Here is a 16,760-nt window from a genome sequence, read left to right as displayed (position 1 = left end):
GCTGCCGAATCCCTGACGGATTGCAGGCTGAAGCTTGTTCTGAGTTCGCCTGTGAATTTAACTGTGCGCCTGTGTTTCTCAGAGCACCCGAGAAGATGGATGATAGGCAGTGTTCTTTATACACTGACATCCTTTTATATGTTAGCAGTCTTGAAGTAAAGCAAGTGATTGCAGTCTTGAAGTAAAGCAAGTGATTGAGGTGGAGGTTTCAAAGCCTTTCACCTACTTGTGGTGGTTGGTTGCCACCTTTCTCCCACCCGCCAAATAAAAATTAAATGACAGAGGACTCTAATATTTGTAGAATTTCTTTGTGGAGTATACTTATGTATGAGACAGTAGACATTTTTGTTTTAATAAAATCATATTTGTGTGAATTATGATGTCCCAAGAAAAGAAGCATTCATATTAAATTACCTTTTTTTGTTTTGGGGCAGTTGTAGTTCTGTGGCTCTGAGTCTTTTTAGTTTGCTGACATTTCTTTAAAAATTTTGGGCCGGATGCAGTGGCTCAGGCCTGTAATCCCAGCAGTTTGGGAGGCCGAGGCAGGAGGATCGCTTGAGGCCAGGAGTTCAAGACCAGCCTGGGCAACATAGCGAGTCCCCCCCACCCCATCTCTGCAAAAAAATTAGCCAGGTGTGGTGTTGCACCTGTCGTCCTAGCTGCTTTCGAGGCAGAGGCTTTTTTTTTTCTTTCTTTCCAGCGTTCTAGCACTTTTTTTTTCCTGAAGGGGCAAAATAGCAAGTGTTTAAGAGCATGGGCTCTACTCTCAGACCCCGACATGGGTTCAAATCCTGATTGGTATTTTCTAGCTTGGGACTTTGGCCAAGTTGTTGGGCCAAATTTCCGTTTCCTCGTCTGGCAAATGAGAATAATAATAGGACCCAGCTCATAGTGTTGTTGTGAACATTAAGTGGCATAATTTGTGTAATGTGCGTAGGATAGTACAGGGCCTATACTACCTGTCATCAAACACTTGTAGTAATTAGTTTCTCCCAGGGAGTTATGATGACAGGAAATTTTTTTTTTTTGTAAAATAATTAGGTCTTACTTCTGATGATGATGTCATTAAAAAATGTTATTACTGGCCGGGCGCGGTGGCTCACGCCTGTAATCCCAGCACTTTGGGAGGCCGAGGCGGGTGGATCATGAGGTCAGGAGATCGAGACCATCCTGGCTAACAAGGTGAAACCCCGTCTCTACTAAAAAAAAAAAATACAAAAAATTAGCCGGGCGCGGTGGCGGGCGCCTGTAGTCCCAGCTACTCGGGAGGCTGAGGCAGGAGAATGGCGTGAACCCGGGAAGCGGAGCTTGCAGTGAGCCGAGATTGCGCCACTGCAGTCCGCAGTCCGGCCTGGGCGACAGAGCGAGACTCCGTCTCAAAAAAAAAAAAAAAAAAAAAAAAAAAAAAAAAAAGTTATTACTTGACATGTATTCCTAGTTTTAATTTCTCTTATTAGAACCAGAAGTTTATCTCTGAAAACATCATGCTGATAAAGTAAGTGCACTTTAGAGAGTTGGATATGAAATTGTATGTCTATTAGTGGAGTTCGCCACCAGATGGGATAGGACAAACCACAAGAGAAAAAGAGAATCAGTTGTGCAAAACAACACAAAATGCAAATAAGAACAGCTTTCTAAGAAGTTATAAAATTAAGATAATGTGAATGAAGAAATGTGCACTTATTGGACAGACAGGAGGTGGATATGGTAGTGATTGGTGATTGGACATGCAAGGTGAGGCGGACTGAGGAGTCTGGGATGACATCCTAAGTTGGGCAACCACGTGGATGATGGTGGCAGTCTTTGGGGTAAGGGAGTACAGGAGGAAAAAGGAGTTTGAGATTGGGAGATGCAAGTGGGATGGAGATGATGATTCAGTTTTGGACATGTTAATTTTGAGGGGCTCATGAATCATTCAGAGAGAAATATCTATTTGGTTTTTGGTGCAGGTTGAAGGTGCAGAAGAGAGATTGGGCTGGAGATCTAGATTTGAGAGTTATCAGCAAGTAGATTGCATTTGGAGCCCGGGGGTGGGTGGGGGTTGATGAGATTGTCCAGTGAGAATGTGCAGACTTAACTTGGAAGGAATACCAAAGACAGAACTGCTATGAGTAATGCATTATTAACTGCTTATTGTGAATGAAAGGTTCTTCCTTGTTATCAAATATGATTGAATAATACTTAATACTTCTGAATCAATTCGTGTTCTGCTTTTTAACTTTTCTATTAGAGGAAGTATAGCACAAATTCTGGAGATGAAGTTCCTGGGTTTGACACCCCAGCACAGCCACTCGTTGAGTAAACATGGCCAAGTTACTTGACCACACTTCTGCCTCGTTTTCCCTATCTAGAAAATGAGGATGATGGTAAGACTTAACCTCGTAGGGTTGTTGTGGGGATTAAATGAATTGTTACCTCTAAAGTGCTTAGAACAGTGCTCTAAGTGCCTAGTAAGTATCAACTGTTTTTTACTACAGTATTTATAATGTGGTTTGAGGCTTTTGTTGGAAATGATAATCCTTTTCCTAGTGTTCGTATATGAAATTTGTTGCTCTGTGAAAAGCCTGTTGCTGTTTGAAACCTTATTTCTTTTCAAAGCTTTGTGATTGTTCAGAAACCTATACTTTAAAAAGAATTATAATGATCTTGTTTCTGTCGCAGTTATTTTTTAGCCCCTTGCATTTAGTGCAGTTATTTTTTGAGGCTGTGATTTGGTGATTTCTGAAGGCTCTTTATTCTTATTATCACTAATTATACTGTTTACTTCAGCTCACCATAGAAAAGCAGCATGTATATCTTGTCCATATCAAGTAGTTGTCTTTGTACATGTGTGTCCCCTTTGCTTTTTGAGGATAAGGCCCATGGATTTATGGAATGTAGACTGTAGACAAATTGTCTAGGATTTTGTTGGGATTATTTTGTCCTGTTGCTTGATACTCAGCAGTAATGATGAACATTTGTGTACACTTAAAGCACTTTTTACTGCATTCTCATCTTCATAACCCAGAGAGGCAGAAAATGTACTAAAGAATATAGGATCTGGGATCAGATTGCACAGGTTGAAATTCTGCATATACCACAGAAAAATGGGGATAACAGCCTCAATAAAGTTAATGTGAGGATTAAATGAGTTAATACATGTGTAAGTGAGCTAATACAGTTCTAATAATGCATTAGTAGTACTGTGTCAGGAACATAAGCATTCAAAAATGTTAGCCACTGCTATTATGATTTCCATATTACTTACTGTTGTTATCATTTTCTAGATGAGGAATTGAGGCCTAAAAACAGCAACTGTATTTGCCTAAATTGGGACTCAAATCCTAGTTCTCTGATTTCAGATTTTTTTTTTTTTTTTAAGATGGAGTTTTGCTCTTTCGCCCAGGCTGGAGTGAAGTGGCGCAATCGGCTCACTGCAACCTCCACCCCACTGCCCCGGGTTCAGGCGATTCTCCTGTCCTCGTCACCACGCCCAGCTAATTTTTGTATTTTTAGTAGTGACGGGATTTCACCATGTTGGCCAGACTGGTCTCGAACTCCTGACCTCAGGTGATTCACCCGCCTTGGCCTCCCAAAGTGCTAGGATTACAGGCGTAAGCCACCTCGCTCAGCCTGATTTCAGATCTTATGCTTTTTTTTTTCTTGAGATAGGGTCTCGCTCTGTTGCCCAGGCTGGAGCGCAGTGGTACAGTCTTGGCTCACTGAAGTCTCTGCCCCCAGGTTTAAGCGATTCTCCCACCTCAGCCTCCCAAGTAGCTGGGACTATGGGCACTGTGCCTGGCTAATTTTTGCACTTTTTGTAGAGACGGGTTTTCGCCATGTTGCCCAGGCTGGTCTCGAACTCCGGGGCTAAAGGGATCTGCCCACCTCGGCCTCCCAAAGTGCTGGGATTACAGGCATGAGCTACCTGGCCTACTCTTTTTATTTGACTATATTTTCTTTCTGCAGAATATTTTCTGTGGTAGTTCCAGGTTTCCTAACAGTGTCACTGCTACTATCCCTAAAGTTATGCCAGCTTTCTTAGTCCTTCTTTTGTTAACCGGGTATCCTTTTGCTGCATAAGTAGCATAATTTAATGAAAGGTTTCCATCAGATCTTTATTTCTGAGGGAAAATCTTACATGAGTGGGATTTCCTGGATATCGACTTATTTAACACCTCAGATGTTTTTAGTCTTGTATGTGTTATTAACTCTGGGCAGATGGGCCCAGTCTTTCAATCTACAGAATCTACTTTGTTCAATTCATAGTTCCATATATTACCAACTACTTCCGTGCTGCCTGTTTTATCTTGCGGAACACATATACTTCCCTGATCTTTTGTTGTACTCATCTCACTAATTCTTAATGCTGAATATCTAACCTGCTTCTTGCTCCTAAGCTGCAAAATAGTGTTAAAGAGAGACTAGAACATTCCAGAGTTGATCTTTATGTCTTAATATCTTGCCATTTGAGATGAGGTTTACCTTAGGTCATTTCTCTTATTTAACAATTTTGTTTCTCTACCTCATCTTACTGAAAAGTTTGGGACTACCATTAGTCCTTCATTTTAACCTTAGCATACTACTCTCTCAATAGGTGACTTAACCATCTTTCCCTTGAGCCTGAAAGGTCTCTTGTTCCTAAAGCTTACCTATTTTATTGTACTTTGAAATTCTCTCTTGCCACCTCTCTCAGAGTCTTGATCCCACAACTTTCCCTGTTCTAACATCTTCAATCTACTCCCTTTTTGTGGACCTTTCCCTTAAACCATAAGACTTACTATGTCTTTCTCATCCTAAAACAAAGATCTATTGAGTGTTCTGGCATTTTCAGCTGCCAACCAAACATTCCTTTCCTTGTCACATTTCTCCCATGTATGTGGTATAGTCATGGCTACTTCCTGCTTATTCTCTTCCTCATCAATCCTTGGGCTATATAGTTGTGCTTACCTTATGTGTACTTGAATTATAGGGCTCTTGAGGGCTAGGAAACTTTGACTTTTTTCTTTTCTTCATCACTGATTTCATGAGCTGTTTTTTTAAAAAGTTACATTTCTTATGTCCCTCCACCCCCTTCCCTGTTTTTATACTGCTTTTCAGAGCTCTTTGATGGCAGGTCTGGTTTTGACTTTTTATTTCCAGTGCTTCACACAGATCCCATGGATATCTGACACATAAAGTGTTTAAATGAATGCCACCAAGCTGCGTTGGACATCCTTTATTATTTCACTTCTAGGTGACCATAGAAAGCTACTAGCTGATCTAGTCCCTCCCTCCTCTAATTCAAGTGTGTTGCAAATTAAGTCTCCCTAAAACACAGCTTTCATCATGGGATTGTGCAGTTCAAGAATATAAGTGGCTTCTTACAGTGTTAAAGCCAAACCCTTGCTTGGATTTTAAGGTTAACTGTGACCTGGTCCTCCTTTTGTTGACTTGTTCTCTAGTTTACATATTGTCCTCCAGTCAGTCTGGTGTTTTCACTGTACCTCCACAAATGCTATGCTTGTTTCCATCTCTGTAACTGTTCTGCTGTTTTTTTTTTTTCTTTTAGATACATTCTTCCTTTTCTTTCCTAAATCTTACCCCTTCTTAAGACTACTCCAGTCCACCATTCTGACTTTTGGGATAACCATTTCCTTCCTTTCTTTAATGTTACCATCTGTGAATGCATTACTAAGCAAAATGTTTTCTTCTCTTTTTGAAGTCATTCGGGTGGAATCGTATTGTGTGTATGCTTTGCTGTCTTGCTTCTTTGCACAAAATTATAATTTGTGAGATTAATTCATGATATTCTGAGTAGTTGAAGTTCATTCATTTTCATTGCTTTGTAGTATTTCATTCCATAAATATACCACAATCAATCCATTCTATAGTAGGTGAACATTTGGATTGTTTCCAGTTTTTTACTATTACAAACGTTTCCATGAACACTCCTATACAAATTTTCAGGTATACATATGCATGAGTTTCTCTAGGGTATAGCCACCCTTGCAATTTCTGGGTCATAGATGGCAATCTTTTTTTTTTTGTATTTTTATTTTATTTTTTTTATTTTTTATTATACTTTAAGTTCTACGGTACATGTGCATAACGTGCAGGTTTGTTACATATGTATACATGCGCCATGTTGGTGTGCTGCACCCATTAACTCGTCATTTACAGTAGGTATATCTCCTAATGCTATCCCTCCCCCCTCCCCCCACCCCACGACAGGCCCTGGTGTGTGATGTTCCCCTTCCAGTGTCCAAATGTTCTCATTGTTCAATTCCCACCTATGAGTGAGAACATGTGGTGTTTGGTTTTCTGTCCTTGTGATAGTTTGCTGAGAATGATGGTTTCCAGCTTCATCCATGTCCCTACAAAGGACATGAACTCATCCTTTTTTATGGCTGCATAGTATTCCATGGTGTATATGTGCCACATTTTCTTCATCCAGTCTATCATTGATGGACATTTGGGTTGGTTCCAAGTCTTTGCTATTGTGAATAGTGCCGCAGTAAACATATGTGTGCATGTGTCTTTATAGCAGAATGATTTATAATCCTTTGGGTATATACCCAGTAATGGGATGGCTGGGTCAAATGGTATTTCTAATTCTATATCCTTGAGGAATCGCCACACTGTCTTCCACAATGGTTGAATTAGTTTACAGTCCCACCAACACTGTAAAAGTGTTCCTATTTCTCCACATCCTCTCCAGCACCTGTTGTTTCCTGACTTTTTAATGATCGCCATTCTAACTGGTGTGAGATGGTGTCTCATTGTGGTTTTGATTTGCATTTCTCTGATGGCCAGTGATGATGAGCATTTTTTCATGTGTCTTTTGGCTGCATAAATGTCTTCTTTTGAGAAGTGTCTGTTCATATCCTTTGCCCACTTTTTGATGGGGTTGTTTTTTTCTTGTAAATTTGTTTGAGTTCATTGTAGATTCTGGATATTAGCCCTTTGTCAGATGAGTAGATTGCAAAAATTTTCTCCCGTTTTGTAGGTTGCCTGTTCACTCTGATGGTAGTGTCTTTTGCTGTGCAGAAGCTCTTTAGTTTAATTAGATCCCATTTGTCAATTTTGGCTTTTGTTGCCATTGCTTTTGGTGTTTTAGACATGAAGTCCTTGCCCATGCCTATGTCCTGAATGGTATTGCCTAGGTTTTCTTCTAGGGTTTTTATGGTTTTAGGTTTAACATGTAAGTCTTTAATCCATCTTGAATTCAGTTTTGTATAAGGTGTAAGGAAGGGATCCAGTTTCAGCTTTCTACATATGGCTAGCCAGGTTTCCCGACACCATTTATTAAATAGGGAATCCTTTCCCCATTTCTTGTTTTTGTCAGGTTTGTCAAAGATCAGATGGTTGTAGATGAGTGGTATTATTTCTGAGGGCTCTGTTCTGTTCCATTGGTCTATATTTCTGTTTTGGTACCAGTACCATGCTGTTTTGGTTACTGTAGCCTTGTAGTACAGTTTGAAGTCAGGTAGCATGATGCCTCCAGCTTTGTTCTTTTGGCTTAGGATTGACTTGGCAATGTGGGCCCTTTTTTGGTTCCACATGAACTTTAAAGTAGTTTTTTCCAATTCTCTGAAGAAAGTCATTGGTAGCTTGATGGGGATGGCATTGAATCTATAAATTACCTTGGGCAGTATGGCCATTTTCACGATATTGATTCTTCCTATCCATGAGCATGGAATATTCTTCCATTTGTTTGTGTCCTCTTTTATTTCGTTGAGCAGTGGTTTGTAGTTCTCCTTGAAGAGGTCCTTCACATCCCTTGTAAGTTGGATTCCTAAGTATTTTATTCTCTTTGAAGCAATTGTGAATGGGAGTTCACTCATAGATGGCAATCTTTATTGCTACAGCAATGTTTATTAGGTAGTGTCAAACTGTTTTCTAAAGTGGTTGTAGAAATTTACAGTCTCACAACAATGTTGCTTTACATCAATGCCATTGCTTTGTATGGCCAACTTTTTCATTTTTACCACAATCTGGTGGATGCACAATGCCATCTCATTGTAAGTTTTAATTTTCATTTTATTACTAATGAGGTTGAGCTCTGTTTTGTATGTTTATTGATGATTTGAATTTCTTCTTATGTAAATTGCTTATTTAAATATTTTGCTGTTATCCCCCTCCTCCATTGTTTTTTCCCTTTGGGTTTTTTAGGAATTGATTTTGTGTGAGTACTTTACATACAGTCTGTGTATTAGTTGTTTATTGATTATATGTGTAGCAAATACCTTTTCCCACCCTGTGGCTTGTTTTTCATAGTTTTAATGGAATCTTATGAAAGCTGTATGTTCTCAGTTTTAATGCAGTTTAACTTACCAGTCTTTTTTAATGGTTATTGGTTTATGGGTCGTAAGAAATATTTTATTACCCTGAGATATTAAGATATTCATCCATATTATCATGAATTTGTAGTTACCCCCTTTTTATTTAGGTTTATATTCCACCTTGTCTTGATATGTGTATGGTGTGAAATTTTAATTTTTTTCTAAATGGATTGTCCTTTCCCCATTAATCTGCCCTGCCGCCTCTATTGTAGATTAAAAAAATTAATTTTAATATTTGTGGGTACATAGTATGCATATGTATTTATGGGGTACATAAGATATTTTGATACAGGCATCAATGTGTAAGAATCACATCAGGGTAAATGGGGTATCTATCATGTCAAGCATTTATCTTGTGTAACAATCCAATTCTTTTAGTTATTTTTAAAATGTACATTGAAATTATCTGTTGTAGATGATATATCCTTATTTGTGGGTCTTTTTCTGGGATCTCTGTTTTGTTCCATTGGTCTGGTTATACAGTATTTTTTTTACAAATTATAAATAATCTTAGGTATAATCAGTCTTGGCATTTGGTAGAGTAACTCCTTCCACCTTTAAAAAAAAATCTTGACTGCTCTTAGCCCTTTGAATTTCCACGTAAATTTTAGAATCTACCAAAGACAAAACAAAACTCCCTGAACCCAAAACTCATAGAATTTGATTGGGATTGCATTGAATCTATATGTTAATTCAGGGGAGAAATGACATCCTTATAATATTGAGTTTCCAATCCATGATCCATAGTGTATTTCTCCATTTATTTAGGTCTTCTTTATGTTGTACAATGAAATTTTATAATTTGCTCTGTCAGGTTCTTGCATATCTTTTGTTAGATTTATTCCTGGGTATATAACAATTTTGTATCCAGCTATACCTTGCTAAACTCTTGTTTATTCTGAATGTACTTGTGAATTCCTTTATATTTTCTGTGTAGACAACCATATGATCTGGAAATCATTATTTTTTTTGTTTCTTCCTTTTCAATCCTTATAACTGACTTACTATTTTTTATCTTGCTCTGTAGACTATTATTTTGTATTACTGTGTAGATTGATACCATTGCTATTCAACATTGTATTAATGTTGAACATTCTTACATTTTTATTTTTCTGTTTTTTAGTTTTTATTTACTTTTTTGAGGTGGACTCTTGCTCTGTTGTCCAGGATGGAGCACAATGGCGTCATCATAGCTCACTATAACCTTGAACTCCTGGGCTCAAGCTGTCCTCTCACCTCAGCCTCCTGAGTAGCTAGAACTACAGGTGTGCACCACCATGTCTGGCTAATTTTTAAATTTATTTTAGAGGTGGGGTCTTGCTATGTTGCCCAGGCTGGAGAACTCCTGGCCTCAAGCGATCCTCCCACCTTGGCCTCCCAAAATGCTGGGATTACAGGCATGAGCCTCTGTGCCTGGCCTTCCTTGTTTTATTTATGATCTCAAAGGGAAAGCATTCTGTGTTTCACTGGTCTAATGATAGCTGACAGCTTTTTGTAGATATCCTTTTAGTTTGGGTTTCCTAGAAAACAGAGCCTGTTATAAGAATTAAGAATTGATGCTTTATTTGGGGCTTTTCTTCTTCATTCCAGTCAATTCAATTTCTTCAGAGTTAACTCCCTTTTATTTTGGGGTTGCATCATTTGGACCCCCTTGGCAGATACTCTGGATATATCACTGCTTTTTCGGTGGCTTTTTACATGGGAATTTTTTTTTTTTATTTGCTGGGGTTGCAAGTGACAGATCAGATTATTTTGCACACACACAAAGTGTTGACTCCTGTAACTGAGTGTATTGGGTCCAGGGATAATGTCAGCAGCCTCTTATCTTCGTATCTTGGATAGGTTTTCCACAAAATGGCCACTATGAGATTTGACAGCCCCAGGCTCAAATCCTCCCAGTTTAGTTGTGGCAGAAAAGATCCAAGGACTCAGTTATTGGTGTGGGCTGGGTCACATGTCCTTCCTTGAACCAATTACTATGTTTAGGGGTATAGGAGAGTCTGACCACTGTGGGTCACATGCCCTTCTCTATGGCTTGGGAGAAAGATGTGTTAGCCCCACCCAAATCTTACAGAATTAGTTCCTTACCAAAGAAGGGTTTCTAACCTAAAGAATGAGGATAAGAGTACTGTTCATAGCAAAACAGCTGATGTTCTTTAAAATTAGTCATTTTTTAGTGGTTTAGTCATTTATAGTGGTTCCACATGACTATAATTACTTAAATATGTGGCAGTATAGACAGCTCTCCTATCTGCAGTTTAAATGGAACTGGTGAAATGCAAAGACATTCAAGGAAAACCAGTGTAACCTGATGCTAGCTAGCTGTGGCTTCCCTGTCCCTTAACTTTTTACAGTTTAGCCTAGATCTTAGTACCAACTCATAGCCCTCCCAAGGATGTCTTCCTGGTTTTTCTTTTTGACTTTTGTCATTCTCATTTTTTCCTTCTGCATCTGTATGCTTGCATCATCATGGGCTGTTCCTGGTTTGCCCTGTGACACCAGAAAACAGAACTAACTCCTTCATTCATATCAACCATTTAATAATTTTCATAATTGCTAATGTTACAGGATCGTGGTACGGAGTCTCAGGGTGCAAAATTTTCTTAGTGACTGCATTCAGCTCTCCTTTTTCTGCCATCATCATTCTTTCTCTTACAAATAAACAGTTTCTTCCACTTATCTTTGCAGAGCAGTTCCAACCCAGATCCTTAGAAAAAAAAACCCAGCTTTATTGAGGTATACTTTATGTATCATAAAATTCATTCATTTTAAGTGTACAATTAAATGATTTTTAGTAAATTAACAGCTGTGAAACCATCATCCACAATCTAGTTTTAGAACGTTTCCATCACCCAAAAAATTCCTTGTGCCAGTTTGCAGTCATTCCCTATTTTGACCCCAAGCCCTGGGCATAACTAATCTTTTTGTATCAATCTCTCAATTTGCCTTTTCTGAAAATTTCACATAAAGAGAATCATGCAATATGTGGCCTTTTATATCTGGTGGCTTTCATTTAGCATAATGTTTTTATGGTTCATCTGTGCATATATCAGTACTTCACTCCTTTTATGGCTGACTAATATTCCATTGTATGTAGCACATTTTGTTTATCCATTCATCAGCTGATGGACATTTACGTTGTTTCTACCTTTTGGCTTTTGTGAATAGTGCCAATAGGAATAAAACTTTTGTTTGAAGGCTTGTTTTCAATTCTTGTGGGTATATACCTATCTAGGAGTGGAATTGCTAGGTCATAGTGTAATTTTGTGTTTAGCTTTTTGAGGATCTGCGAAACTGTTCCACAATGACTGCCATTTTACATTCCTATTAGCGATGTATGAGGGTTCTAATTTCTCCATATGCTTGCTAACACTTGTTATTGTCCTCTTTGATTATAGACATTCTGGTGAGTGTGAAGTGGTATTTCATTGTGATTTAAATTTGTGTTTTCCTAATGACTAGTGCCTTTTTTTTTTCTTCTTTGAGATGGAGTCTCGCACTGTCGCCCAGGCTGGAGTACAGTGGCGCGATCTCGGCTCATTGCAAGCTCCACTTCCCGGGTTCACACCATTCTCCTGCCTCAGCCTCCTGAGTAGCTGGGACTACAGGCACCCGCCACTATGCCTGGCTAATTTCTTTTTGTATTTTTAGTAGAGACGGGGTTTCACCACATTAGCCAGGATGGTCCTGATCTCCTGACCTCATGATCCGCCCGCCTCGGCCTCCCAAAGTGCTGGGATTACCGGAGTGAGCCATCGCGTCTGGCCAACTAGTGACCTTTTTTATGTGCTTATTAGCCACTCACGTATCTGCCCTGGTGAAATACCTGTTCAGGTCTCTTACTCATTTGTATCGATTGATTGATTGAGACAGGGTCTTGCTCTGTTACCCAGGCTGTAGTTCAGTGGTGCGTTATAGCTCACTGCTGCTTTGAACTCCTGGGCTCAAGCTATCTTCCCAGCTCAACCTCCTGAGTAGCTGGGACTATAGGCCCACGCCACCACATCTGGCTAATTTTTTGTAGAGACAGACTCTATGTTGCCCAGGCTGGTCTTGAACTCCTGGGCTCAAGTGATCCTCCCCGCTCAGCCTGCCAAAATGCTAGGATTACATGCATGCACCACCATGCCTGGCCTCTTATTCATTTTTCAGTGGGATTATTTATCTTGCTTTTGAGTTGTAGGAGTTCTTTATGTGTTCTGAGTAAAAGTCCTTCTTTAGATATATAATTTACAACTATTGTCTCCTTGTTTGGCTTGTCCTTTCATTTTTTAGGTGATGTTTGAAGCACAAAGGTTTTCAATTTTAATGAAGTCCAGTTCATCAGTTTTTTTCTTTTATGCATCAGGATTTTGGTGTTGTAGCTAAGACTTTTTGCCTAATCCATTGTCATGAATTTTTTTCTATGTTCTGCTAAAAATTTGATAGTTTTAGTTATTATATTAAGGTTTATGTTCCATTTTGCGTTAGTTTTTATGCATGGTTTGAGATAAAGGTCTAAATTTATCTTTAGTGTGTGGGTGTTCAATTGTTGCAACACTGTTGAAAAGAATACTTTTGTCCAATTGAATTGCCTTGGCACCATTGTCAAAAAAAATCAGTTGATCATAAATGTAAGAGTTCATTTCTTGATACTCAGTTCTGTTTCATTGCTCTGTGTGTCTATCCTTATACCAGTACAGTGCTGTTCTGGTTACCATTGCTTTAAAGTAAAATTTGAAATTTGTAAGTGTGGGTCCTCCAATTTTTTACTTTTTTCAAAATTGCTTTGTCTATTCTGGATTTTTTGCATTTTCATATACATTTTAGGACCAATATCTATATAAAGTATGCAAGTTTCTGCAAAGTCTTGTTGGGATTTTGATAGAGATTGCACTGAATCTGTTGATCAGTTTGGGAGAATTGCCATCTGAACAATATTGAGTCTTCCAATCCATGAAAATGGTTGGTGGGGGGGGTCTATTTATTTAGATCTTATTTAATTTCTCTCTTCAGCATTTTGAAGTTTTCAGTGTAAAGGTCTTGTACCTCTTTTGTTAAATTTATTTCTAAATATTTTATTTTTGATCTTTTGAATGGAATTAAAAAATATTTTTGGTTTGTTCATTGCTAGTATATAGAGATACAGTTGATTTTTGGATATTATACTTGTATCCTTCAACCTTGCTGAACTTGTTTAGTATTTCTAGTAGTTTTTTGTGGGTTCCTGAGAATTTTCTGTATACAGGATAATTTTTTCTGTGAGTAAAGACAGTTTTATTTCTTCCTTTCCAATCAAAATGCCTTTAATCCATCCCTCCCTACCTCCCCCCCTTCCCCCTCCCTTCCTTGCTTCCTTCCCTTTTCCTTCCTCTCTCCTTCCTTCCCTCCCTCCCTCTTCCAGTACAAGGTTGAATAGAACTGAGAGCAGACATACTTGGCTTTCTCTTGCTCTAAAGGGAAAAGCATTCAGACTTTCACTGTTAAGTATGATGTTATTTGTAGGTAGATGTTGTAAAAAAGGAAAGGTGGGGACAAGGATTTGAGAAATATTTAAGAGTTAGAATAAACACGATTTAGCAACTAATTATGTATACTTTACACCAGGATATAATTTTGTATGTTTATGGGTAAGGCAGCTCTGGGTTTATTTTTATAATGAAGTAGGGTGGAATTTAAGATAAATTTATATCCTTTTAGGAGGATTGACCTTTTGCAGTAGATACTTTTCTTTTCTCTCTGTTTTTAATTGCCAATTTCAGGTCAGTGTTAATATTTACAAATGCTAAATTTTTGAATTCTTTTCTTTATGTAATTATAATGTAATATGTTCCATGAAATAGGGAGCAGTATTATCACCAGCTTTTAGTTGATGAAACTGAGATTTATATGGAAATGCTGTTGATCACAGTGATAGAGCCATCCAAGTCTCCTTAATACAGTGCTTTCTAATGTAAAAATAATTTTGAGTAATGTTATCCCCAAAATAGTGTCAGATGGGATATATGAGACACCTGACATCTTTTTTTTAATCCTTTTTCCCACCAGAAAAGGAGGTATATTTTAAATGTTAAGTGTATTATGTAGAAGGACTGTTTCTTTTTGGTTTTGTTTCACATATCAACGTGTATATGTTTTAGTTTTCTTGAGCCTTTAGTGGTTACTGGGATCCAGTCTTCTGTGTTCCTAAACATTTTAACACGGGCTAACTTACAAATGACATAAAGACAATGGCTTAGATTGGCATTTTATTTAGCCATACATGAAGGATAGGAAACAGATCATAACAATGGTGGTAGTCATTCTAGTGTTCCTATTACTATGTTAGTATATACACCAGACATTTTTACTGGATATCTTTAACTGACCTGTGAAAGGCTGGGTTTTGGAAAATAGACAAATCATTAATATAAACTATAGCAAGAATTATTTTATCTTTGGAAACCTGCTTCCATGGAAAGCTTTAGGAGCTTTATGGATCTGAATTCAAACCCTGCCTCTACCTTTCATAAACTTGGGCAAGTTACTTTATTTTTGAAATGTATCTAAAAATATCTATTTTTTAATTATAAAATAATGTTGCTGCAGAGAATTTAGAAATACAGAAAGCCCTCAAAAATCACCCATAATTCTTGATTCAGACAGAAATCTCTGCCTCATAGAACTTACATTCTAGTGATAATCTTTGGAAAAACTGGAAATAGTTTAAAGGTCCACCCGTGGAGACTGGTTAAATATGTTTGTTTATCCATACCAGGGACTTTATAGCAGATAAAAAGGAGATTAGTAGTTAAGAATGAGGTCTTTATGTTCAAATTTTAGCTCTATTCCTTATCAGTTATGTGAAACTCTTGAAATTTCAATATTTGAATAGAGTACCTACTTCATAGGGTTTTCTAAAGATTGAGGTATAACAAAAGTAACACTTTGCACAGTATGTGACACGTTGTAAGTGCCTGACAAATGTTGCTAGTTTTATTAGTTTTATGTGCCAATATGGAAAGATTTCTAATATATATTGTATAATGTAAGGTATCAAGAAATGATTATTGTATGATGTCATGTGTGGACATTAAAAAATAAGGATTTCTTATATATGTAATGATAGATACACATCTATTTCTTGAAGGATACCAAGAAAATATTAACTAGTTACATCTAGGGAATAAGACTGGGGATTGGGGATTGGAGATGGCAGAGAGATGGACCTTTTATTTTCACCTCTTTGTGAAGTTTGAAATTTTTTCTTCCTAAGTTTGCATTTTGTAATGCCATTTATTTATTTATTTAAAAGATTTCTTGTATCAGGTTTTTTTTTTTTTGTCTTCATTTTGGAAAATCTTATTTCCTCTGCTTCTCATAGTAACTTTATGTAATAGTAGGGCTTGAAAGTAATTCTGTAACCAGCCCTTTGCAGATATGCTAAAGACACATTAGAGACTATTTTGAGATAAGCAAACAAATTATATATCCTGTTAAAAAAATTGTTTTTAAAAAAGTTTCATACAGAATAGGAGAGTATTGTGTTTTGGTAGTAGTTTTTTTACTTTACCAGATTACAAAGATGATAATAATGATCTCAACTAGACTGAGACTATTTTTCCCCTGCAAATATTTTTCTATTTGACAATAATAGATAAGAAGGCATACTTTTTTCTTCCCTTTTAATCAGTTAGAAACCAACATCACTTATGAATTGGTTTACTCTAAAAGGTGTTTTGAAAGTACTAGGTAGTCTCTAAGTTCATTCTTATTCAGTATCTCTCTCTTTTCCTCTCTCTAAATTCTTATATCTGTTTCTCCATTTCTCTCTCTCTCCCCATTGTCTTAGACTTTGAGGATATAACGATTAATAAGATATGGTCCCTGCCCTGAAGGAGCTCTCGTAAGTTGTTCCATTCAAGCATTCTTAGTCAATTACTTTTCTGGCGAAGGAATTATGAATTTTTCTTTTCTATTCCTGTGTTTTTCACTTTAGCTCTGTAAACACTGGGTAAGCACTTTGTATGTGCTGGGCACTCTGCTAGAGATAATGTGTCTGGAATTGGTGGGTTCTTGGTCTCACTGACTTCAAGAATGAAGCCGTGGACCCTCGCAGTGAGTGTTACAGCTCTTAAGGTGGCGCGTCTGGAGTCTGTCCCTTCTGATGTTCAGATGTGTTCAGAGTTTCTTCCTTCTGGTGGGTTCGTGGTCTCGCTGGCTCAGGAGTGAAGCTGCAGACCTTTGCGGTGAGTGTTACAGCTCTTAAGGCAGCGCGTCTGGAGTTGTTCGTTCCTCCCGGTGGGCTCGTGGTCTCGCTGGGCTCAGGAGTGAAGCTGCAGATCTTCGCGGGGAGTGTTACAGCTCATAAAAGCAGCGTGGACCCAAAGAGTGGGCAGTAGCAAGATTTATTGCAAAGAGCGAAAGAACAAAGCTTCCACAGTGTGGAAGGGGACCCAAGCAGGTTGCCAATGCTGGCTCGGGCAGCCTGCTTTTATT

General features: G+C 38.0%; 1 protein-coding gene across 15 annotated transcripts in view, besides 1 other annotated feature; it reads left to right on the top strand.

Annotated features, from left to right (window-relative positions):
• Positions 1-16,760, top strand: part of DOCK7 (dedicator of cytokinesis 7) — a 233,661-nt gene that overhangs the window by 816 nt on the left and 216,085 nt on the right. The gene's annotated exons all lie outside the window — the stretch shown is intronic.
• Positions 12,040-12,671: an enhancer, noted in NCBI's record as "H3K27ac hESC enhancer chr1:63140571-63141202 (GRCh37/hg19 assembly coordinates)". NCBI's record gives its function as "activates a minimal SCP1, AML or CMV promoter by ChIP-STARR-seq in naive H9 embryonic stem cells {active_cell/tissue: H9 hESC(naive)}" and the evidence as "EXISTENCE:reporter gene assay evidence [ECO:0000049][PMID:30033119]".

This window comes from Homo sapiens, chromosome 1 (assembly GCF_000001405.40).
Source record: "Homo sapiens chromosome 1, GRCh38.p14 Primary Assembly".
Taxonomy (NCBI): Eukaryota; Metazoa; Chordata; class Mammalia; order Primates; family Hominidae; genus Homo; species Homo sapiens.
Note: the sequence above shows the minus strand (reverse complement) of the source record. Positions and strands in the feature narration are given on the sequence as shown.